Source organism: Homo sapiens, chromosome 6, assembly GCF_000001405.40.
Source record: "Homo sapiens chromosome 6, GRCh38.p14 Primary Assembly".
In the NCBI taxonomy this organism is placed as follows: Eukaryota; Metazoa; Chordata; class Mammalia; order Primates; family Hominidae; genus Homo; species Homo sapiens.
This window is the reverse complement of record NC_000006.12, coordinates 152,843,778-152,869,570: the sequence shown is the minus strand read 5'-3', so window position 1 is coordinate 152,869,570 and position 25,793 is coordinate 152,843,778. Positions and strand designations below refer to the sequence as shown.

The 25,793-nt window shown below is 36.8% G+C and overlaps 2 long non-coding RNA genes across 8 annotated transcripts in view, besides 1 other annotated feature; one reads left to right on the top strand and one right to left on the bottom strand.

Annotated features, from left to right (window-relative positions):
- Window positions 1-25,793, top strand: part of LINC02840 (long intergenic non-protein coding RNA 2840) — a 121,122-nt gene that overhangs the window by 6,427 nt on the left and 88,902 nt on the right. The window lies entirely within an intron of this gene.
- Window positions 1,125-5,991, bottom strand: LOC124901439 (uncharacterized). The gene is made up of 2 exons (XR_007059821.1): window positions 5,840-5,991; window positions 1,125-1,261 (listed from the first exon to the last, which is right to left on the bottom strand). It is a non-coding gene; the product is annotated as an uncharacterized LOC124901439 (long non-coding RNA).
- Window positions 5,412-5,461: an enhancer, noted in NCBI's record as "active region_25290". NCBI's record gives its function as "activates an Ori minimal core promoter by ATAC-STARR-seq in GM12878 lymphoblastoid cells {active_cell/tissue: GM12878}" and the evidence as "EXISTENCE:reporter gene assay evidence [ECO:0000049][PMID:35858748]".

Below are 25,793 nucleotides of genomic sequence, written 5' to 3'. Positions count from 1 at the left end.
AGGCTGGTCGTGAACTCTCAGCCTCAAACAATCCTTCCACCTTGGCCTCCCAAAGTACTGGAATTACAGGCATGAGCCACTGCGCCCAGCCAATTTTTTCTCTTTTCTTTTCTTTCGTTCATTCTTTTCTCCCAGGATGGAGTGCAATGGCACGATCTCAGCTCACTGCAACCTCTGCCTCCCAGGTTCAGGCGATTATCGTGCCTCAGCCTCCCAGAGTAGCTGGGATTACGGTTGCCTGCCACCATGCTCGGCTAATTTTTGTATTTTTAATAGAGACAGGGTTTCACCATGTTGGTCAGGCTGGTCTCAAACTCCTGACCTCAGGTAATCCGCCCGCCTAGGCCTCACAAAGTGCTGGGATTACAGGCATGAGCCATCGCGCCCAGCTCAATTTTTTCCTTTTTACGACACTTTTTTTTTTCCTGGTTGGACCGCCATAGCACAACATTTTTCTGGGTCTCTTCCTTTTCTTATTTCCCTTTCTCTTTTAGTTCCTGAACTGTGTGCATTTTTGAAGACTACTTCCTGAGTCATTTTTCTTGACCCCTTCCTTATTCCTCAGATAACTTGTGGGCTCATAAAACTTCAACGCTCCAGCTCCCTGTGCACTATTGTACAGAAGTCTCCTCCACAGACCAGCCACGGTGGTTCACACCTTAAATCCCAGCACTTTGGCAGGCCGAGGTGGGTGGATCACCTGAGGTCAGGAGTTCAAGACCAGCCTGGTCAACATAACGCAACCCCGTCTCTACTAAAAATACAAAAATTAGCCAGACGCGTTAGTGCGCGCCTGTAATTCCAGCTACTCGGGAGGCTGAGGCAGGAGAATCGCTTGAACCCAGAAGGCGGAGGTTGCAGCGAGCCAAGATTGTGCCACTGCCCTCCAGCCTGAGCGACAGAGAGACTCCTTCACATATGTGATTAGCCATGGTTTTTCTTCAAATTTGATTTCTTAATTTGGTAGGAAGGGAAATAAAGATAAATAATTATGATGTTTCCTTAGCAGGGATACAAGGACCATTGGGACAATTGTAAACCAATCCCTTCTTACCACATGAAAAACAGAACACATTTTAATTCCTCCCTCTCTTTATATTCAGCCAAGCCCCGATGAGACTTCCTTTGTGGTGCTCACATTTATTTCATTCACTTCAGTTCCAGCTGTCATAATGCAGACCCTTATCACCTGACCGTGATTTAGGGTAATATTCTTCTAACTTTTTCTTCACTAACCTGCTGAGTCGCCAGATGAATCCTCCTAAAAAAAAATTTAGAATAATATCACTCTAACGTGATAAGTCCTAAAATGTGTCTTTCATAATAACTTTCCTGTTTACAATTCTTAGAAGTCCCGCACTACCAACTGGCTAATGTCCACTTCTGGCTTTCTGCTCCTGACCTCAATCTAACGTTCTAGATTTTTACCTTCCTCATTCTTCTCCCATCTGTGCTCTGTTTTGGTTTGTTACTTAGCTGCTTAAAGTGCACTTTCTCTGTTGCTTTTTGCCTTTAAATATTTAATACCAGTTAAAGTCTCAATTCTTTTGCGAAGTCTTCTTTAGGAACTTGAAGCATTTGCAAACACATGTTTGTTCTCACTTTAATCATGTATGGCAATAGGATACCAAATTCAATCCATAATTGTTTATGTGCTGGGTATGGTGGACAACAAAAATGTTATGTTTAACCCGTAATCTTGGGGAATGCACAGCCTACAGCTGCACTGTTCAGTTGGGAGGCTGCTCACCACCTGAGGCTACTGAGCACTAGAAATGTGGTTCCTATGACTGAGACATCGAGTTTGTTATTTTATTTAGTTTTAATTAATTTATCTCCGAATTTAGAATCTGAAGCAATGCAAATAACATTTTTTATTAAACACAACTCTGTTTTTTGGTAGGACAATATTTTATTTTTTTGTTGTACCACATAAAACATTATTATATCACAATGTATGTGAGGTGAGGGTGGATGGGGGTATGGACTTCATTTCTAGATAAACGCATCATCCATCTAGTCAATATCACTGAACTGACTCAGTTCCAAATATGTTTTCTAAGCACTGATAAAACAGTATAATGTATTCGAGTTGTTGAGACAGACAGCCAAAGTCACAGTAACTAATTGTAAGGTAGGTATAATTATGGTACTATGTTGGGGATATCTATTATATTTTAATTGTAGTATAATTAAATTATTTTTCTTGTTAAAAAGTAAGTATGGACATATATTTTTAGATTTAAAATGAAGGCATGTTGCTGATTTAAAATCAAGAGTTGCAGAAGCTAGCACTATGCCCAGAAGACTGGAAGAGAGAGAAAGAGTGAGAGACAGAAATTGGAAGAAGATATGTCCCAATGATGAATGGCAATTGCAATTTGTTGTGGCAGAGCAAAACCTAAAAAGCTTTCAAAGCTGTTGTGAAAAAAGATTTTATGTTAATAAAGTGGATAATATTTAGATGTATTTTCAGGAAATACACAGTGAATTTAATAATAACTTTCCTCTCAACAGTTACAAGTTAAAAAAGAATTAAAAAAATTAGTTGGCAAAAATAAGGATGAACAGTCCAATCATCACAATGAAAATATTATAATGTTTAAGTAAATCTGACCTTGTAACTAGGGCCAGCTATTAAATGGCTTGTATATTTGTATGAAAAAGAAAGCCATTTTTAGATGAAGGAATGTAAAAGGAGTCACTGTGTCAGATATGGAACTTCTGTTCTCCAATCTTGCAGAAAAGCCTTAAAAAGGTATTTTATAAAAAGTGAAATATCTACACTTAATTAACCGAACAGTTGCTTCATAATACAAGACCCTTCTAACCGTATCAATGATCTAATGAATCCAAATTGGAAAAATTGAAAGCACTTTCTTTTCACTTTAGTTGAGTCTTGCAATAGAAGAGATAGTGTTCAATTAGCAATGTGGGTGCCTTTTGTCTCAAAGGATTTACTTCCAAAGATATGAAGAAGTGTGGTTTCACAACTGCACGGCATAGATATTTTTGATTCTTTCATATCTCCAAAGAAGAATTTAAGCTAATTATGAAAAAAATAATTTCTATTGTGATGAAACTGCTCTAGTGTACTGGAATTTTAAAACGAGAATTTTTCTTTCTTCTTTCATTCTGTGCTATGATACATACAGTATGTATGCAGTTTTTTCAGACAGACTCCTCGAAATATTTAATGGGTATGCTTGTTCAGTACATATGGGTGTATGCTAGGAATCACTGCAAGTTTAGAGGACTGCTGAAAGAAACACGAGATTAGGACTCTAATGATCTTAAGTTCTTTGACCAAAGCTCATGCATTAAGTCATGGAAGACTTTTTACAAAATTTCCTGTGCTGCTAACTCCAATTCAAGATTTTCTTGAAACTAATAAATGTTTACCATATATTTAATAATTAAAGACAAAAGAAATGACAATGTGGTTTATATTCTGTCACTGATACCACACTACATGTGAATAATATAAATTTGAAGCTCCAATAGAAAGAAAAAGCATATTTGTGATTAGGTAGACATGCATGAGAACTTCTGTTGAAATTAAACCTTTTTATACTTCTAAACAATACTAAAGATTTTACAAATATTTATAAATCAGTATTCAGAAGATTTTAATTGTAATTGACAGTTTTATATAAATTGGCTGCACAAACTACATGAAAAACATGAAGAATGCTTTGTTGATATTGATTGATTAGGAGTTGATTTTTAATTTACACAATAGTCTGAATTCAATGTTAATAACCGGTTGACTTAACAGTTAGTGAGTTTACTTAACTTGGGGAGCTATAGTTTTAAAGGTATATGATTTTGCTTCAAAGTCTAAACAATTCTTTTTAAAAAACAAACCAGTTTTGTCAATGTGCATATGAATATTAAACAAAAATAATGTTTTGGTACTCAAATTATTGGAAAAGTTTTAAAATGTATTTGGAACAACTTGAGCATGTGAATCTACTTTTCAATTGTAAATTGTAAGTAATCTCAGCACAGATCAAGTATTTCTGATGAAAATATTGTGTCTGAATTGAGTTGTCCTTTAAGTGTAAAATATACACTGTATTTCAGGGTGGGTGCAGTGGCTCATGCCTGTAATCCTAGCACTTTGGGAGGCCATGGAGGGTGGATCACTTGAGCTCAGGAGTTTGAGTCCAGCCTGGCCAACATGGTGAAACCCCATCTCTACCGAAAATACAAAAATTAGCTGGGCGTGGTGGTGGGCATCTGTAATCCCAGTTACTTGGGATGCTGAGGCAGGAGAATTGTTTGAATCCAGAAGACGGAGGTTGCAGTGAGTCGAGATCATGCCTCTGCACTCCAGCCTGGGTGACAGAGGGAGACTCCATCTCAAAAACAAACAAACAAACAAACAAACAAAAAAACCTATCTATCTATCTATCCATCTGTCTATCTATCTATCCATCCATCCATCAACTTTCTATCTATCTAGATATACATACTGAATTTCAAAGACAAAAAATGTGAAGTATATCATAATAAATATTTTATATCAGTCAAATGTTGAAATGATAATATTTTGGGTATACTTGATTAAATAAATATACTATTAAAATTATTTTTACTTGTTACCTTTTACCTTTTTAATGTAGCTACTAGAAAACTTTCAGTTATGTTTCTGTTGGACAACACCACTGTAGACAACTCATATTTTGACATTGTATTAACTTCTTTAATATTATTTAACTTTTCAAGGTGCCTGACTCACGTTCCCTATCAGACTAAATTCTACTTGAGATCAGGAATCATGTTCTTCTTTTCTCACTTAGCCAGCTATTATTGAGAGCTTACACAGAAGACAGAAAGGTACATTTAAGGCCCATTTCTTGCACTCAAAGAACTCATAGTTTAATAGGAAAAGATATGTAAATAAATAATCAAAATATGGAGACATAAGAACTTAAAGATCATAAAGACATAAAGAGCATAAAGACATAAGAGCTTAAAGCTTCAAAGCACCATGGCTCTTGAAAAGAAGGAAGACTAAAGCATCCACCATAGCATTCTAGCAAGCAGACTGCTATGTCGTTACTTAAATGGCTTTGAGACTAATGTAACAAATGGAATTTAAATCCTTGATTGTACAATGGAGTCAGAGTAGTAGAAAAATGCTAGTGGGAAAGAAATAGTCATAAAAAATTGAAGGTGAAGTAAGAAGTATGAAAGAAAATGAATTAAATTATGTTCAGTGTGTTTGGATGGAAGTCTTGGTTTCATGCGAAATTCATGCTGAGAATAAAGGAATGTGTTTCCATGCGATAACACAAACTCTTAGCTTTGTTGCACAGTTTAGAAGTAACCAAAAGCAGGAATGAGAAAATATTCATCTTATCATATCTGCCAGTTTTAAAGATACTGTTTACCATGCAGTGGTGTTTGAAGCAAGACCATCTGTGTAAACAGAAATGTAGAGAAAGCAAGCAGTTCTCTGAAGTGCTAAGACTAAGGACTCTTATTGCTTCTGCTTTGGCGCCCTCAAGTGGCCAATTGAAATGAGTAATTCAAGGTATTGTATAATATTGTATTGCGCTTATTTGCAGTTATGCACCATCCTTGCATTAATTGGCTTTTCCCAACTATGTCACTAATAGATGGCCCCATTGAAGATGAAGCCTTTGGTAAGTTGTTTCAGAGAATTTTCCTTTCCAAATAAAGGAAGAAACCACCATTTTGTAAGTGGATGCTTATTTTAGGCAATACAAGGCCTAGACATAGTGATGAAGTACTGGCCCCGGGGTGTTTTGAGAGAAAGACAGAAATAAATCATCCGTCTTTCGAAAATTCTCTACAAATATTTCTATACCATAAGAGACGACTTGGAATCTTCCGATGTCCAGAGTGTCCCTTAGATGGTAAGGCTTACTGATGAGAGAAGGGGCCGCCTTCTATATCTTTATTTAGTTCTTTAAATGTCCTCTGGGCTGTAGAGATGAGCATCATGAGTCGCTGATGAAGGCTGTCCAGTAGCCAAGCTAAATGTGCTCCATCTAGTCACTGCGCCAAGAATGGGCCTATTATGACACATACTAGTATATTATGTGACCCAATAAAAAGTCTCCATTATTAAAGGTCATAGTAAATGGATATACTTCAGTACAAGAAATGAAAGCAACAGTCATTCTTTTAGGAACAATCAGCTGATTTCAGGAAAGTTTTTATGCCATATTTTTAATTTTTGACAAAGCATAAATGATGACACTTTGGTGTGATGAGTAAAACTTTGCATTTATTGTCATACCTGTCTTATGAAAGTCATGAACTATTAATGAACTTAATAGTTGATTATTTCATTAACTTTGACACAATCCTGTAAGGTAGGGCAATTGTAATTCCTTCTGTAGGTTTTCATATTCTTAGTTTATTAGGAGAGGAACCGTCAGGACTTAGAAATAAAAATAAAGACTTGGTAGTTGGTATTTGGCAGGAGAAACAATTCTGAGTAATCAACTGGGAATTAACAGATGCAGAATCTAAGCACATTAAAAATAAAAATTCTAAAAGATTCACTGTAGAGCCAGATGATATTTTATCTATTGTCTGATATGTTTTCAATATTCTAAAACATAACATCGTGATATAAAAGGACTTCTCATTAAAGATGACAAAGGAGAAAGAATAACAATGACATGCCAGGATTCTGCTATCTGATAGTTCTGAAGAGCACTTTCCATAATATTAATGTACTTTTGTTGTTGTGAGAAGAATCTAATATTGATTTTTGAAATGAGACATTTCTTTATTGTGGAATTTAGAGTGTAGTTTAAAGAATTTTTTCCATGGAAAGAAACCCTTCATTGCACTTGATTTGAGGGTTTCTTTAATTATTATTATTGTGGATGAAAAACCTTTCAAATAGGCAGACCTCATGTAAGCATATTGGATTTGAATGAAATTGTAGCACCAAGTATCAGAAATTTATTATTAAGAATAATAATTTTGATAATAATTATTAATAAAAATTCTTAATAATATTATTTATCGAACTTATATTTATTAAATGTCTATAATGTATAACTGCCAACTCCCATATAATGTCTTGAAATAAAAACCAACTAGGAATAAGCTGTCCTGGAGGCTTATATTTACACACTTCTTCAAACAATAATCTTGGTGTCTGTGAGCACCTGGTGTCTTACTGTAGTGTAAGGTAGGTAGGAAAGGTCTGTTTTCTTTAATGTTTAGGGTTTGTGATGCATAAATAAAATAATGCATGTAAAAGGCATTTTTGAAATGCTAGAATTCTAATTTCTAGTTGTAGTTCTTTTTTTTTTTTATTGTATATTACTAGACTAGCCAAACCAGCAAATTCAGACAATGGTATCTGTTTGATTATAATATGCTTCCATATAACAACAAACAACTAATCATTTGTTGGTCTATATCAGAGGGAAAAAAGATGATCAAGTTGATAATCTCTGGTTAGCTCACACTGTTATTTAAGGAAAGACCTTTCGTCTTATCATATTTTATCCTCACTGGAGCAAATGTTTGTGTCTTTTTTATTTGTACAGATTTATGGGGTACTTGTGAAATGCTCTTGCATGTATATAAGACAGAGTGATCAAGTCAAAGTACAGTAAATTTTTGTTAACTATAGTCACCCTACTCTGCAATCAAACACTGTATTTAATCCTTCTATTTAACTGTATGTTTGCACTTTTAAGCCACTTCTCTTCATCCTCCTCCCCATTTTTACCAGTCTCTGTTATCTTTCCACTCTCTACCTCCATGTAATCAAATTTATTAGCTCCCACATATAAGTGAGAACATGTGATATTTGTCTTTTTGTGCATAGATTATTTCACTTAAGATAATGGCCTCCAGTTCCATCCATGTTGCTGCAAATAGCATGATTTCATTCTTTTTTATGGTCATATAATATTCTATTGTGTATATATACCACATTTTCTTTATCCATTCATCCACTGATGGATGCTTAGGTTGATTTCATATCTCTGCTATTGTGAATAATACTGCAATAAACATGCAAGTGCAGGTATCCCTTTCATGAGTTTATTTCTTTTTGCTTGGGTAGAAACCAAGTAGTGGCATTGCTGGGTCAAATGGTAATTCTATTTTTAGATTTTGAGAAATCTCCATGCTGCTTTCCACAGGGGATGTACTGGTTTACATTCCTACCAACAGTGTATAAGGGTTTCCTTTTCTCCACATCCTCACCAGCATCTATTATTTTGTCTTTTTTTAAATAGCCATTTTGACTCGATAAAATGATTATCGCATTGTGGTTTTGATTTGCATTTCTCTTATGATTAGTAATGTTGAGTATTTTTTCACATACCTGTGACCCATTTGTATGTCTTCTTTTAAGCAATGTCTATTCATGTCTTTGTTCGCTTTTTAGTGGGATTATTTAGTTGTTGTTATTGAGTTGTTTGAGTTCCTTGTATATTCTGGATATTATTTCCTGTTGGATGAATAGTCTCCAGACATTTTCTCCTATTCAACAGGGTGTCTCTTCACTCTTGATTATTTCTTTGGTTGTGCAGAAGCTTTTTAGTTTAATTAAGTTCCATTGGCTATTTTTGTTTCTATTGCCTGTGCTTTTGATGTCTTAGTCACAAATTCTTTGCCTAGACCAAGGTCCAGGAGAGTTTTACCTAGGTTTTTCTTTGTTTGTTTGTTTTTTGTAGTTTTGGGTCTTACATTTAAGTCTGTAATGTATTTTGGGTTAATTTTTGTGCATGATAAGGGACATGGGTCCAGTTTCATTCTTCATGTGGCTATCCAATTTTCCCAGCATCGTTTATCGAAGAGGGTGTTTTCCCCCAATGTAAGATCTTGTTGGCTTTGTTGAGAATCACTTGGCTGTAAATGTGTGTCTTTAATTCTGGGTTTTCTATTCTGTTCATTGGTGTATGTGTCTATTTTTATGCTAATACCATGCTGTTTTAGTTACTATAGCCTTGTAATATCTTTTGAAGTCAGGTTATGTGAGGCCTCTGGCTTTGTTCTGACTTGTTTTTGAATTCCCCTGGGTCTAGCCAAATATCTGGCACAGATAGGTGCTCAATAAATCACTTTAAGTTTGTTAGTATATTAACAAATTCTTATCAGGCGAAATAAATTCTTAACAATAAACCAAAGTTCTAGTAAAGGCTAAATTGACAATAATAATAGTTACAGCAGAACAATTAATTGGTATTATATGGAAGTTACTAGAGAAACAAAGAAAGCCCAATAGTAAAATTACTGACAATACATACACCTGGAGAATGATAGCCCACCATTGGTAATGCAACGCAGAGCTCCACTGAGATGAGACTATGTAGTAGAAACCAAGATAAAGGCACTCTGAAAATGAATTCATATGTAAACCTAGAAAGTGAAAAACAGTCTTCAACGAAGAAACAAATATTACATTGAAAATGCTCAGAGGCAGAATTTTATGTAACTCCATATGAATTTTGCATAAAAGTCCAATAAAATGAAATTCTGGGTATTCAGCAGCTTTGGCAATTGAAGCTCTGAATATTCTAGGCTACCCACAGTTTATTTGAGAACTCTGTGATAAAGGAGAAGAGCATTGCTGTGAGCTGTACATAGACAAATAAGTTAGCAAACTATGTTTTGTGATAGATAAATATTTTGGAAATCAGAATTTTTTGCGTTATTGTTATGTCTTAAAAATGTATTCTGAGATTTAATTTTTCTAAATAGTGCATTTGTTTGATTCCAGTTTCTCCAGAGGAAAATGATGGCATTTCAAAGAAAAATATACTTTTGTGTGTGAAAATAAGAATTACCATGAAACATTTTGTATAACTACTGATTTATCTTTTTATTACATAATTTATACTGAAATAAGTTCAATTCTCTAACATGCTAGTCAATATCAGCTACAGCCCACCCTAAGCAGGTATTTCCAGCTCATTTTTGAACATTGATTCCTGCTTCATCATATTTTTCTGTCATTGTCATTGAGAAGTAGCTTACAATCAAACAGCTTTCACCAAAGCTCCCTCTTCTCTCCCCAAACTAAGAAAAAAAATCAAACAACAACAATAAATAAGTCAGACACACAGCACATGCTATGTGAGTTCCTTGACATTGACACTTGACATTTTGAGTTGCGGTTGCACTTGTTTTGGCTCCGTTTACATCTGGTTTCGATTTGAGTTATAACCAGCCACGTTCAGGAGAAGTAACAGAGTTGGAGTTGACAAGATATTAAGAACTTTCCTCTAGGGTAATTGTCTATGGGATGAAAATGAAAGTTGACATCCAGGGATCGATTCCTTGGTAACAGAAGTCCAGTGAGATAAGATGTCATATGACGAGAGAGTTATATATAGGAATTGGATTCAGGTGATGTGGAGAACTTGTGGTGGTAGAAATGATAGGAATTGGACATTTACTAAACATGGCTATCAAATTTCTATGTCTGAGCCACAGGATAGATTTTTGACAGGGTAGATTTTTGTTGCCATTAATAGATATAAGAAAACGAGGAAGAGGAGACTGGTGGAAAAGATCTGATTTGTCAGGACACACAGAGGAACATGTATAATAGAATTCTAGAAGTATAGAGCTGAAGTTTGGGAAAGATGTCCCAATGATGTATTCCTAAACCAAAAAAGCTAACCTCCTAAAGGAGGAGGAGTTAGTCAGGATCTAAAATCTGGAACATTGGTTTGGGTAAAAACAACAGCAAGCAAACAAGAATGCCCTGAGGAGGATCCACATTATAAAATGCTCCCATTTGTGTTACTAATTGAGAATAGAAGAAAACAAAAAAATTGATAATAATCAGCTTATTTCTACAAGATTATTAAGAGCACAGTATATTACTTCCATATATATCTCAACTAAAATGCATTTGACAAATGTTTGCTGATTACCTACTAAGTGCCTTTTGTTTTTCTAGGCACTGGAGCTCTGAGATGAGGCATGGTGATTTGAAAGTGGTCCATTGTAGAGGTTAACAGTGTAGGCTTCAGCATTGGAATTATGCTGGGGTTTGATCAGAGGCTCTGCTTTGCCATCTCCTGCTATTGGGGAGGAGGCTAAGCCTCCTTGAGTCTCCGTTTTCTCATTTGTAAAGTGGAGATGTTTAATACCTCATGGAGTTGTGAGTTAGTAAGGAACAAATGTTGAAAACTGTTTGTTTAACACAGTGCCTGATGCATAGTAAGAATTAAATAAATGGTTCCATTTTTGGACCAAGGGTTTAGGCCATCTGTTCATTTGGGAAGGTTTCAAAATATCATTTCGGCTTTCCAAAGTGAAGTGACCTAAATTGCAGTCTTTTTGTTTGTTTGTTTTTTTACATTTTGGTCCATATATATCTCAGGAGTTCTTTTCTTCATTCTATTCCTAGTCATTCACATTTGCAGCATGAGATTTTTCTTCTGCACAAAGAGTATCTCATGCTTAAGGAAAACTTTCAAACTGTCTCAAGCATAATTTATCTCTACCATTAGGCTTTAATGTTTTGGCAACAACAAAAATTTTAACCACAATAGTACACTTGTAGTGAAAATATTTGGATATATTTTTAAAAACAGATTTATTGAGGTCTAGTTTACATAAAACAAAATTCACCCTTTGTAAGTGTATAGTTCGATGATTTTAGTAAATTTATAGTTGTACAACCATCACCACACCCATTTTTAAACATTTCCATCACTCCAAATGTCCACTAGTGCTGTTCTGCAGTTATTCCTAGCCTCTACCACCAGTCTTCAGCAACCGTGAATCTGTTTTCTGGCTCTGTAAATTTGCTTTTCCACATATTTCATATAAAGGGAATTATACACTATGCAGACTGTTGCATCTGGATGCTTCTTCAACTTAGCACACTGTTTTTGAGTTTCATCCATGTTGTCGCAGTAGTAGTGCATCTTTTATTTTTATTGCTATATAGACTTCACTATCTGTCTATGATTCATGCACTGGTCATTTATTCAGGAACCATTTGGATAATTTCACATTTTGGCTATTATAAGTAATGCTGCTATGAAAGTTAGTGTTCATGTTTTCCCGTGAATGTATGGTTTTATTTCTCTTGGATAGATTCCTAGAAGTAGAATTGCTGGGTCGGATGGTAATTTATGTTTAATTTTGTGAGAAACTGCCAAACTGTTTTCCAAAGTGGCTATGCCATTTTAATTCCTAATGGCTGTGCAATAGAATTCCAGTTCTCCAATCTTTGCCAGCGCATGATATTGTCTGTCTCTTTTAATTATAACCATTGTAATAAATGAAAATTTATTAGTAATTTCTTGGCATGTTACTGTGATTTTATTTTGCATTTTCCTAACAATTAATAATGTTGAACATTTTCTTATGTGTTTATTAGCCATTTACATTTCTTTTCCTTCTCCTCTTTGTCTTTTTTCTTTTCCTTAGTGAAATGTGTACTCAAATCGTTAGGTTCAAATATTTTATTTGGATTCTTTGTCTTATAATTGAGTTTTAATTGAACATATTTTAAAATAATAAACTCTATAAAAATTATATTCTGTTTAGCCACCACTCAAAGAAAATAGTGAAACATAGCCATGTGGAGGATTTGAGAAGAATTACATTAAAACAGGTTTACATTGCTCATATAAGGGGATGTATGGGAGCACTCTGTGGATGGCTAGTTCAAGGACAGACATCATCAAGGATCAGGCCTCACTGTCCTCATGGTGTGGCTTCCTTCCTCAGGCTTGCACGCTGGCCAATGCACCTCTGGGAATCAGGTCCATGTTCTAGACAGAAAGAAGGACGTTGCAGAACAAAAGGCATGGGACACCCTGATTTAGATTATTTTAATCCGGAAGTTCTATTAGGTTGGTGCAAAAGTAATTGCGGTTTTTAAAAGTAATGGTGAAAACCACAATTACTTTTGCACCAACCTAATAGCTAGTACACTTCTGCTTATATATCATTAGCCAGCACTGGGGCAAATGACCACGCCAAGTTGCTACAGAGCGTGGGATCGGGGCTGCGATATTTTCAATGTTCAGGGTGCTGCTCAGGGTTCTTTAATTAAGGAAGAAGGGGATAGTGGATATTGGACAGGTAACCAATAGTTTGACAGTGCTACATTTATGCAGATATATATTTATAGGATGTCCACCACAGAGTAATTTGTAATAAAAAGTTTAAGAAAAATTAATTAGAAAATGGAACTAGTTAATAATGGGATACCTGTCACAGGGGGACTTTATGATTCTATTAAAACTAGATTTAAAAGACTATTTAATGATGAGAGAAAACATTCTTCTTATATTAAGTGAAAAAGCATTATTAAAAACATCATATAAAATAATCACATTATTGGCCAGGTATGGTGGCTTATGCCTGTAATTCCAGCACTTTGGGGGACCGAGGTGGGCGGATTGCTTGAGGCCAGAAGTTCAAGACCAGCCTGGCCAACATGGCAAAACCCTATCTCTACTAAAAATACAAAAAATTAGCCAGGTGTGGTGGCGTGCTCCTGTCATCCCAGATACTTGGAAGGCTGAGGCAGAAGAATCACTTGAACCTGGGAGGCGGAGATTGCAGTGACCTGAGATCCATGCCACTGCACTCCAGCCTGGGTGACAGAGCAAGACTCTGTCTTGAAGAAAAATAAACAAAAGACTACTTAAGATGCAGGAAGGGTCTGTTTTGTAAGAGAAAGAGTGAAAGATTTGGGAAAGGAATCATCTAGCCAAGGCACAGTAGGTCTGATGGCAGGAGATTGTCAAAAAAGGTAAGCTCATCCAAGATGTTTGGGTCATTTTTTTTCCCCTTCCATTGCTGTGAGTAGACACCTGTTCATCTTTCTATTATAACAAACAGCCTAGTATCTGACACATACTAAGCACTGTCAGTGTTGACTGAATGAGTCAATAAATGAATTAATGAATGCGAGAGGTCCCCTTTAGTATACTAGACAGGAGTCAGAGACACACGCTTAAGTATAGGGATACCAAACTGTGGGATTGTCTATGGAACCCGAGGTCAGGTGGGAACTAGCAGTTACTGTGCTGGGATGTCACCCATTCTGACATGCAGCTCCTGAAGTCTGCCCACCCCCATCCTCACTCCTCTCCCTCACCCTCACCCTCTTTAGGATCCATCTTGGCCTTGGGAACAGGAGTAGGAGGAGGGTTGAGCCTTCATGTGCCTCAGGTGTTGGATAGTAAACATGTAAAAGACCAGAACTGAGCAGATTCTGGTGGTTGCCTTTAAACTTGTTTTGAAGTAAATAAATATTTAAGATAAATGTAATGATATTTCAACTCCTGAAGCATGATTGTTTTTTTAAATGTTCTTTCAATAAAGTTAATTTCTGTGTAGGTTGTACTATATATTCTTCCTGAGGTAGATTATAGTCTTGAACATCTAAAGATATAGGTGGATCTTTTCAGGCACTCTTTTTTTTTTTTTTTTTTTTGAGACAGAGTCTCACTCTGTCGCCCAGGCTAGAATGCAGTGGTGCGATCTCGATTCACTCCAACCTCTGCCTCCCAGGTTCAAGGTGATTCTCCTGCCTCAGCCTCCCAACTAGTGGAGATTGTAGGCATATGCCAAGATGCCAGGGTAATTTTCATATTTTCAGTAGAGTCAGCTTTTACCATGTTGGCCAGGCTTTTCTCGAACTCCTGACCTCAGCTGATCTGCTCACATCAGTATCCCAAAGTGCTGGGATTACAGGCGTGAGCCACTGCACCTGGCCACTTTTTAAGAAATCAGAATGGCAAAGAACTATCAGATGTTTGTAAATCTGTTTTTCAAACAAGTTTGTTAAAAGGCCAAAGGAAGCAGAGACCAGACACCCTGAGAGCAAGGAGGACTGACCTTCCTTGAGGGCCAGATTCTAAACTTGTGACAGCCTTTTTAAGAACCTCTTTTCTAAGACAATCTTCAACGTAAGTACTCATACTTTCACTTACAAGTCAGGGGCATCTGGACAAAAGCCTCTCAGCTACAGACTTCAGTTTATAACCACAAGATTTCATGTGCAGGCAGATGTTACATTTGTAAGTATCGTAGGATGGGCTGGTACTGTAGGACATAAACATCATGATGTTTTTATTTCCAGAGACCTTCACAGGGAGAATCTTATTATGGAGACGTGATCTATTTTTAAAGATCTATATCCCTGGACTTGATAAACTAAGGAGATATAATAAAGCATAACCTAACTGAGGAGAGAGAAAGGGAAAACCACATTGTTCTCATGACAGACAGGGCTGAAGGGTCCCTTTGTAGGATGCAGAGAGACTTTAATATAACAGTGATGTTAACCTTTGCTTCAAAGGCAACTGTGTAATGTAAGAACAACCAACTCTGCCTCAGGGGATAGTGAGACTGACCTTTCCTATGATCTAGTTGCTATATACTCTACATACTCACTAATACAGATTCAATGAGGTTTTGAATTAAAGCTTATTTTGCCTGCAGAAGCAAGCTTAAAAGAGATCTGGTTTATCTTATCAATTTTGCTTGACTCCAAGCCACTTATTATACCTTAAATCAATTTTCTCTCTTACTTTTTCTTTAGGTTAATTTTCACACATCTATAAATTAAGAAGAGGCCCACTAGTTATTTTATCTGCATATTAGCAAAAACAAATTTAGCCTGGAATCTATTTACCAAAAGTTTTTTCTTTTGGTGATTCTTATTAAATCCTTTCTTTCCCCATACATTTAAAATTTTGTGTTGAATAATCCTTCTGATTCTCAGCAATTTTTTTAGCTATGTTCGCTAGCCTTAAGGCACTCGCTTTCTCTCTGTGTACACACACACACACACACACACACACACACACAGACATTAGAACATTGCATAATTCAGTTTAATGAAATTTAAAAATATATAATTCTAGATATGCACAATGAACACATACAGATACTTGCTTCTCATACTAACCATTACTGGTGACAGATAGAAGGTATTAGTAAACCCATTTGGGAAGACTAGAATTCAAGTTCCAAAATTTTTATGCTACTTTACTTGGTTGCCACAAACAAACAAGCACACCATTAACAAACTAAGCATAAACAGAATGGAATAGAAGTTAAAATGGGAGCTGATAGAGAAAACATAAATAAAGACAGTGAGGGAGGGGTTAGAGAGACTGGGAGATGAAAGGGCAAATGCCATGGTATTTTGAAGAATGTTGAGGAAAAGAAAAACTGATTAAAGGCCACTAGGTAAGTTTAGGCTCCTGGGCCTGCTAGGAGGTTTCTCGTAGCCTTGAGTGCAGTTTAAGTTGAATGGAGACAACAGAAATTTAACTAAAGAAGTTAAAGAGTGGTTGGGGTGACCAGACAATGAGACAAATTAGTGTATGTGTTAAGAAAAACACTTAGAACAATGCTTTGAGAGAATAGCAAAGTCAAACAAGGTTTCGGGGTTGGTTACTTGTTGATGGGAAGACCTGAGATGATTAGGCAGAGTCAGATTTCAGAAATTGAAAGTTCAAAAAGCAGAAACAAAAAGAGCATTAAGGAGAAACAATAGAGGCTGTGGAATCAAGAGTGCATGTTTTTACTTGAAAAGAAAGAGAGAAGCAGCATCACTCTCAGAGAGAGTCAGGAAGAAGCACCATGGAGAAGATGTACATGGATTTAAAGCAGGAGGGAAAGGAATGAGTGAAATTTATGAATTGAGGAAAGTTTAAATGGTGAAGTATCAGCCACTAAAACAACATCCTCACAGAAGAGCCAATGGTGTTGGAAAATGCTTTGACAGAAAAGTAAGGTACAAATTGTGTGTACAATATGATCTTAATATGATAGAAAAAGTAGAGAGGAAGGGAGGAAGAAAGGAAGGGAGAAGGGAGGAATGGAGAAGGGAAGAAGGGAGGGAAGAGAACTTACGCTTCTGCACAAACAGAAGGCTGGAATGGAAAATGACACCTGTGTGATAGAGCATTGCGGGCAGCCTGGACAGCAAGAGCAACACAGAGATGAGAGAGAAGTGAGCTATTTTAGGAAACTGAATCAAATAATCTCTACTTCTCAGCTACCAGGGCCATTTGGAACACACTCAGTTTAAAATGGCAATAGCTGTAGGGATTCTTCACTTCTGTCATTGATATTTTCAAGGACTGTGAGTTCTAGTTCTGTTAGGATGGGTGAAGGTTGGTAATATTCCCTTTAGAATCGAGCCGAGTCCCAGTGGAAAGTTAGCATCCTGGCAAGGGGATGGGCACTAAGGACTGAGCAAGGTGATGGCCAATAAGGATTAATAGTTCGACTTAAGACTGATAAAACAAATGCTACTAAACAAAGATATAGAAAGGAGCTGGGGAAAGATGTGTTTCCTTTTAAGGGCCTATTGCTTAAAACGATAAGCACTCTAATATCCAGCAGCAAGTGTACGAACTAGAAAGAAGTCAGTAGGAAAGTTTCACAGAGGTAGGATTCAGAGATAAACACATTTTCAAAGGAGTTGAATTTTTTTTTCTTTTTTTTTGAGATGGAGTCTCACTCTGTCACCCAGGCTGGAGTGCAGTGGTGCGATCTCGACTCACTGCAACCTCTGCCTCCCAGGTTCAAGGGATCCTCCTGCCTAGCCTCCCCAGTAGCTGGGATTAAAGGCGTGTGCCACCATGCTTGGCTAATTTTTGTGCGTTTAGTAGAGATGGGGTTTCACCATGTTGGCCAGGCTGGTCTTGAACTCCTGATCTCAAGCGATCTGCCTGCCTCGGCCTCCCGAAGTGCTGGGATTACAGGTGTGAGTCACCGTGCCTGGCCGGGAGTTGAAAAGTCTTAACATGAAAGTAGAGGTCATTTATAAACCTTGCATTCAACAGGAATCTAAAGTTCATTTAAAAACATGCTTTTATTTCCACATAGATACAGTAAAGAACTCCAGGAAGATCCTTAGTCCTCAAATTCCTCCCTTTGTTGTTGTCAAGATGCTCAGAGTTTCAACATTTAAAACAGATTTATTTGTTCAAATGTTTTCTGGTAAAAGCTAGCAGAATGTGCAGCTAACATTGGTGGATTGAAGGGACTTATATTTATAAGGGCTTTAACCCACAAGAACAAAGAGAACAGAACAGAAGATGACAGCAACAAAATTCTGGAAACTGGAAAGAATAGGAACACGTGGTAATCAACTTCGCAGGCTGAAGGAAGCTCAAAGCTAAGCTGGAAGTGAGCGTTAGAAGTAAGTTGATTTGCACTGCAAAACCTCAGAAAGCTCAGCAGCTAGATACATCTATTATCTTGAATAGTGAGATTCATGGGAGGCTGGAACAGAAGGATTGGTTGGTTGTCTACATAAAAATAATTCAGAATTCTATAGCTGAGAGTACATTGAGATCCCATGCATGCACACAGAAAGATTTAGGAATAAAAGAAAGTCATCTAAGATAGTTTCTAAGTTCCTGCATGCTGGATTTCCAAAGAAGTTTTGACTTTTGACCAGATTCAGAAAAAAAACTGTTCCTTCAGATTTTTGGAAGATTGCATGCATAGCCATTACACATTCAAACCCAGCACTATTTTATATCCCAAATGAAGGTTTATATATCGGCAATCTTTCATTATAAAATAGGAGCTAGAATTTTTAGCTTGAGTCATCCTTCTTAATGGGCAGCTGGTCTCTTTTACCAACTGATATTTCATATTAAATTGTCCCCCAGATATTTCATCAAAATGGCTTGCAGCACACACCCTACATTTACCTCATGTCTCTTTTGTGGTTCATTGTAAATCTGCACAATGAGGGCGTCTGTGAGGCAGCTGCAAATTTTCTGGTTTTCAATACACACAGCGTATTTGTCAGCAATTATGTCTCAGCTTCTCTTTCTGCACTTGTATTCTCAGTACTGAGCAGTGATGCAAATTAATTATTACAAAGATCTGGATTCGGCACTCCTGTCCCTGCAATGCAAACTGAAGTCCTTCCAATTCATGGATCATTCTAACCACTCAGGAGCAGAGATCAAGAAAACACAACCTCCATATATTTTAGAATTATTTGAGTGCCTTAGGGTTTTCTTCCTAAAGATAACATCATGTTATCTTTAATTGCTAGATAAATTGTGCCACATCTTCTTACTGCCCTTGAACAATGGTTTTCAAAAACTTTCCTAGTACAAGTTTAAAGGTAGAAGAAAGTAAATACTAAGAAGGATAGCTACATAGCCTAAGATCATGGAAAAGTGAACATTAAGTCCCAGGTTTTAGTTTAAAAAGTATACTAGTTTTATATTCCAATTAAAAAGGTAATTTTTTTATATTATCATAATACTCAAATTACTGCCTAGGGGAAAATTATGTGTAAAACCTTTTTCGAAGTTTATACCGTTTATTTGAGTATACCTTGCCACACTCTTTCATATGCCTGGGATTTGTGCATTCCAAATCTGAAGTACAAGGGAAGATTCCTTGTAAAAAATTATGACTTCAGTTGCCTCAAATTTTATTTATTTAGGGCAGGGCACAGTGGGCAGTGGCTCATGCCTGTAATCCCAGCACTTTGGAAAGCTGAGGTGGGTGGATCATTTGAGGTCAGGAGTTGGAGACCAGCCTGGCCAATGTGGCGAATCCTGTATCTACTAAAAATTACAAAAATTAGCCAGGCATGGTTGTGCGCACTGGTAGTCCCAGTTACAGGGGAGGCTGAGGCTGGAGAATCACTTAAGCCCAGGAGGGAGAGGTTGCAGTGAGCTGAGATCATGCCACTGTACTCTAGCCTGGGCAACAGAATGAGACTATCTCAAAACACACAAAAAAAATTTTAAGTTTTTTTTCTTTTTTCCCCTTGAAAAGTTACTCTTTTCTGAATTTGGCAGATAGTGAAAACTTTCTTATAAGTTCTTCCTGATGACCATCTATAGTTTTGTCCTCCAATAATCTTAAAATTCAAAATTCCAAATTTATTAAAGTATATAACTATAAATATATTTAGCACAGTTCGTAGGCCTACAGGCCCATCTCTCTTTGCATTCTAGGTTTAAAACCCAGCTCCTTCATTTTCTTGATGTGAAATTGAGCTACTTTATTCCTCAGTTTTCTCATCTAAACAATGGAGGTGAATATAGTGCCTATGTTTTAGGACTATTATAAAAATTAAATGAAATCTTGTATGTAAAATGGTTTAGTGCTGGGCAATAGTACCAATGATCAATATTCTTACCTCTTGTACTTAGATAAGAAAATTGAGTCCAGAAAGAGAGAAGTTCTAAACACAATAAATCTTTTAGTAATTTTCAAAAATTACAGTCACCATACCTCTTTCCAGAATTCTCTCATTAAGAAATAGTGACTATTTCTCCTCAGATAGTCACAAATTTTGCAAAATGTTGGCACATCTTTCTACATAGCTATTCTCAACAAAAAGTCAAATGATAGGCTATAGTAGACACCTGGAAAATGAACACTGAGAGGGAAGGAAATGTACATTCATTTATTCATTCGTTCTTCACCCATGAAACACACGTGCACCAAGTCCCTGCAGTGGCTGTTCACACGTGTTGAACACCACTGAAAGCTCATGTCTTTGTCCATTCCATTGTAAGCATCAAATTAGTCCCTAACCTAGCATTAGAGTCTCTGTTTATGCTTTAGATGTATTCATAAGTTCTGATGGTTCAAGTCACAACAGCAGAGTGAATGATTGAAGCCATTCTTTGCAAGCTCAGCTGTATCTTTACTATTGCTAGATTTTTTTTTTTACAGCAGCATATCTGTTGCACCACCTACAGTAGCTTTTCTAAACGTTCCTGTTGTTCACACCCCTCTACTCCACCACTATCCCTCTGTTCTTTGCCAGTGACCTATTGAAATTTTATGAAGTTTGAGATTATTTACTGTAAATTGCCTCAGCTGTCTCCCTTCCTTCTCAAAAGGAGTGGATGTGAACCCATCTTCCCTTTCTTCTTCTCAGAGAAGTAGACATCTCTCTTTGCAAAGGCTAATTCCTTGGCGAAGTTCCTGATCCTGCTCAAGTTCTTTGTTTTATCAGCTAGTGTTTCTCATCCTCCCACCTGACTTTCCTAATCAGAATCAAAGCAGCACCTTCTTCCTACATCACACTGCTCACTAAACCTCATTGTTAATATGTCAGTGGGAGCTGCCTGTTAAAACATAACCATGTGTTTCCACCAAGATATCTAACAGCTACAGTAAAAGAAATTAGGATGATTTTCAAAACATATTTGACTAATAACTTAGTCATGTATTATGAATAAAATAAGATGTTCTGACTATAGAAATTTTTTTAAAAATCACAATCTTTAAGAGAGGCGTTCTACATAGAAAATAAAGCTATAAAGTTTCATGATAATATGTTTACTATGTGACTTTCTAAAATTTGCACATGCTAGAAATATTAAGACCATTTATGTTCTTTAAGTGTGTGTGTGTGTGTGTGTGTATATATATATATATATTTTTTTTTTTTTTGAGACAGAGTTTTGCTCTGTCACCCAGGTTGGGGTGCAGTGGCACAATCTCGGCTCACTGCAACTTCTGACTCCCAGGCTCAAGTAATTCTCCTGCCTCAGCCTCCCAAGTAGCTGGGATCATAGTCAGGTGCCACCACACCCGGCTAATTTTTGTATTTTTTGTAGAGACAAGGTTTCACCATGTTGGCCAGGCTTGTCTTGAACTCCTGACCTGAAGTGATCTGCCTGCCTTGGCCTCCCAAAGTGCTGAGATTACAGGCCCTACATGTTTATATTCTAGAGGAAATTTTAGTTCCTCCACAGTCTAATGAACTATTACAAATGTACAGGAAATTAGATTGTATCATAGACTTGTGCTAGTATCTCTCAATACTTTAGGCAGAAAAAGAACAAGTTAGATTCTTTCAATACTTTGGACTGGAACGAAACTGTTGTAGAGTTGCTTAAGTCCCCTGCTTTTAAATATTTATATACTGAAATCTTGAGGGGATGTTGAAGGACTCATTAAGATGTATTTCTCTCACTTCAATTGTGATGATTAGATTTCTGAGTCTCTGAACGTCAACTACAGATCCATATTTCTCTCTATTTCATTACTCGCTGATAATTTTATTTTATGCTGCTTTGGAATTCATCTTATAAAATGTTTTGTATTCTCACATTGTGTTGTGCTCCTGTTGCTTGATTCTCAATGACATAGCATACACTTAAAACAATAGTCTGCTTTTTCTTTAGGAACATTTTAAAATCAATTAATATTTGAGAATGAGACAAAGGGGAAAAATTACCATGTTTTAATCAGGCTACATGTTGAAAAATTTGTTCAATTACAAAATCCTTTATAACAAAAAGGTATAGAAAATAACTCTTCACTGCCTAAAATATTTACAATGAAGAAATTCGAAATTCAAGTAAAAGCAAGTTTTGTGCTGAAAATCTTTTAAATATATAAAACCAAGAAACAAATGGCTTTTTTTTTCCTGTATGCAAACATGAGAAGGTCACCAAACCTGGTCTGGGTCTGTGTTTGGGTAGCAGGAAGCACTCTGCTGTAAGGGAAATGGCTGTGCTTTAGTCAAGAGCAGGCCGAGGTGGCCTTCCCATGCAGCATGACTCAGAGGGTTTGGAGCGCAGGCGCACAACCCTGAACATTATGTAACCATGCCATGTGAGGTGCATTAGGTGAACACTCACGTGAGCTCATGCTTGGCTTGGAGCCACTGTTGTCTGTAGAAGGCATAACTACCCTGCTGATGCTGTACATACGGCTTGCACCCAGAAAGAGAATAAAGCCATGCCATGGTTGCCTAGGATTTCTCAAGTGTTTTTCCAGCTACCCACCACTCACCCACCCACTTCCCTCAGACCTCAGCTTGGGCTAGAACCTGACACTTGGTGTGACATCTGCCTACCATTATAAACCTCTTCTGTTAGTTAAATCACTGGGAACAGTAGCCCACAGTAAAAGTGCCCTCTGTAATATATCCCATACTCACCTTAATCCATTGCCAATTGCCTTCTGCCCAAAAATGTCTGTATAAGCTTTTTCTAAGGTCAAGAATGACTTCCACGTTGCTCAATTCAGTGAACACTGTCATCATTTTATTTGATTCTGAGCACCATTGACCCCACTCTCCACTTTTGTCTTTTGTTGTTGTTCATACACAGATTGATTTAAAATAGTAAAATTGGGGCAATAGAGAACTAGCTAAAGATAGTATGGCACAGCTATAAAATAGACCATATCATCTTTTTAATTTTTTTGATTTGCTTCAGACTTATTATATTTTATTTTTTGACACATTTTAACCATGCATAATTATATGTCACACAGTGATGTTAAGATGTATGTATATAGCATGGGATGATTGAATCAAGCTAATTAACATATCCATCCCCTTAAATACCCATCATCTATTCCTCCTGTCTAACCACAACTTTCTAGCCTTGGATCACCTCCCCATGCCTTCCACTCCCAGCCTCTGCAACCACCATTCTACTTGCTGCTATTATGAGTTTGTTTCAAATTCCACGTATAAGTGAAAACATGGCTTTTGTCTTTCTGTGATTCGCTTATTTCACTTATCAAAATGTCCTCCAGGTTCAGCCATTTAGTCATGTTGTCAAAAAATGACAGGATTTTCTTCTTCTTATTCAGGTTTTATTTTAGAATCAGGGGTACATGTACAGGCTTGTTACAAAGGTATATTGCGTATTGTGGGGCTTGGAGTATGAATTCTGTTTTCAGGCTAAATAGTATTCCATTATGTCCTTCAGTTCCATGATGCAACTGACAGGATTTCACTCTTTTTTATGGCTGAATAGTATTTCATTATGTATACAGATCATATTTCCTTCATTCATTCATCTATGGATAGACACTTAGGTTGATTCAACATCTGGGTTATTGTGAATAATGCTGCAATGAACATAGCAATGCAGATGCCTCTTCCACATACTGATTTCAAGTCTTTAGGATATCTACCCAGATGCACTTCTGTTCTTTGAAGTTCACTTTCTCTCAGCTTTTGAGGTTCTGGGCACTCCTGCTTTTCCTCATTCCTTTCTGGCTGATCCTTCTTAGTCACCTTGGCTCCTTTTCTTCCATTTGGTTTTCAGAATGTCTGGACTCCAGAATGAACATACTTAGAGATGGCTTGGGATTACAGCTGTGAATAAAGAAGTGAACAAATAAATAAACTACCCACTATTCTTTTGATTTCAGAGTATTAAATAAGACCCTCTACACCTATAAAATGACTCCTCCTCACCAACCTGCTGATACATGAAATACCCTAGGTAGGAAACTCTCAAAAGTCTTACTGTCAAACACCATCATCTTGGGGATTAGGATTTTGTGGGGACACCGGCACATAGACTGTAACGAGAATGTAAAATTTAGAAAAGCTGGGTGATATATCCCTAGCACCTAAACAATGCATTATAGATACTCAATGAATAATTGGTGACTGAATAAATGAACACGTACATTCAACCGAACTATGTAGCAGGGAACGTGAACTAGAGCTACATTATCCTATATGCATGGATATCTCCAACATAGAGTAAAATAATAGTTGCCAAAATATGTATGGTATAAAATATTTATATACCATTTAAAAACATGAAAACAACTTAAATATTAAAGATATAGGAATGAAAAACAATGAATTCAGGACAGTGGTTGCCTTTGGTGACAGAATGATTCATAGCAGGAATAGGTGCATAGCAGGCTTCACAGAGGAGTGTTAATAAAAGGCTTTATTTTTTTTTTTACACTGTTGGTGGGACTGTAAACTAGTTCAACCATTGTGGAAGTCAGTGTGGCGATTCCTCAGGGATCTAGAACTAGAAATACCATTTGACCCAGCCATCCCATTACTGGGTATATACCCAAAGGACTATAAATCATGCTGCTATAAAGACACATGCACACGTATGTTTATTGCGGCACTATTCACAATAGCAAAGACTTGGAACCAACCCAAATGTCCAACAGTGATAGACTGGATTAAGAAAATGTGGCACATATACACCATGGAATACTATGCAGCCATAAAAATGATGAGTTCATGTAGTTTGTAGGGACATGGATGAAACTGGAAATCATCATTCTCAGTAAACTATCGCAAGAACAAAAAACCAAACACCACATATTCTCACTCATAGGTGGGAACTGAACAATGAGAACACATGGACACAGGAAGGGGAACATCACACTCTGGGGACTGTTGTGGGGTGGGGGGAGGGTGGAGGGATAGCATTGGGAGATATACCTAATGCTAGATGACGAGTTAGTGGGTGCAGCGCACTAGCATGGCACATGTATACATATATAACTAACCTGCACATTGTGCACATGTACCCTAAAACTTAAAGTATAATAATAATAAAAAAAATTTAAAAAAATAAATAAAAGGCTTTATAAGTTGAGGGAATCATGGGTATATATTTTATTGTTATTTATGCATCTTTTTGAATGCCTCAGATGTTGAGTAACATTTTTTAAAAACTTGAATTGTCCTAATTCAAGAAAAATCAATCACTCACTCACTCTCTTTGCCCCATCATGGTATTCAGGCTACATTTTCTTAGTATATTTAAGCACTGATTTTAGGTAAATATCCTCTAAATGATAAAGTTTATATGAGGTTTAATCCTTTATTAAAATTATACTGTAGTAGGGCGCAGTGGCTCATTTGTGTAATCCCAGCATTTAGGGAGGCTGAGGCAGGAGGACTGCTTGAAGTCAAGAGCTTAAGACCAGCCTGGACAACATAGTGAGACCCCTTTTCTATCAAAAAATACAAAAATTAGCCCAGGTGTGGTGGCATGCATCTATAGTCCCAGCAACTTGGAGGCTGAGGCAGGAGGCTCTCTTGAGTCGGG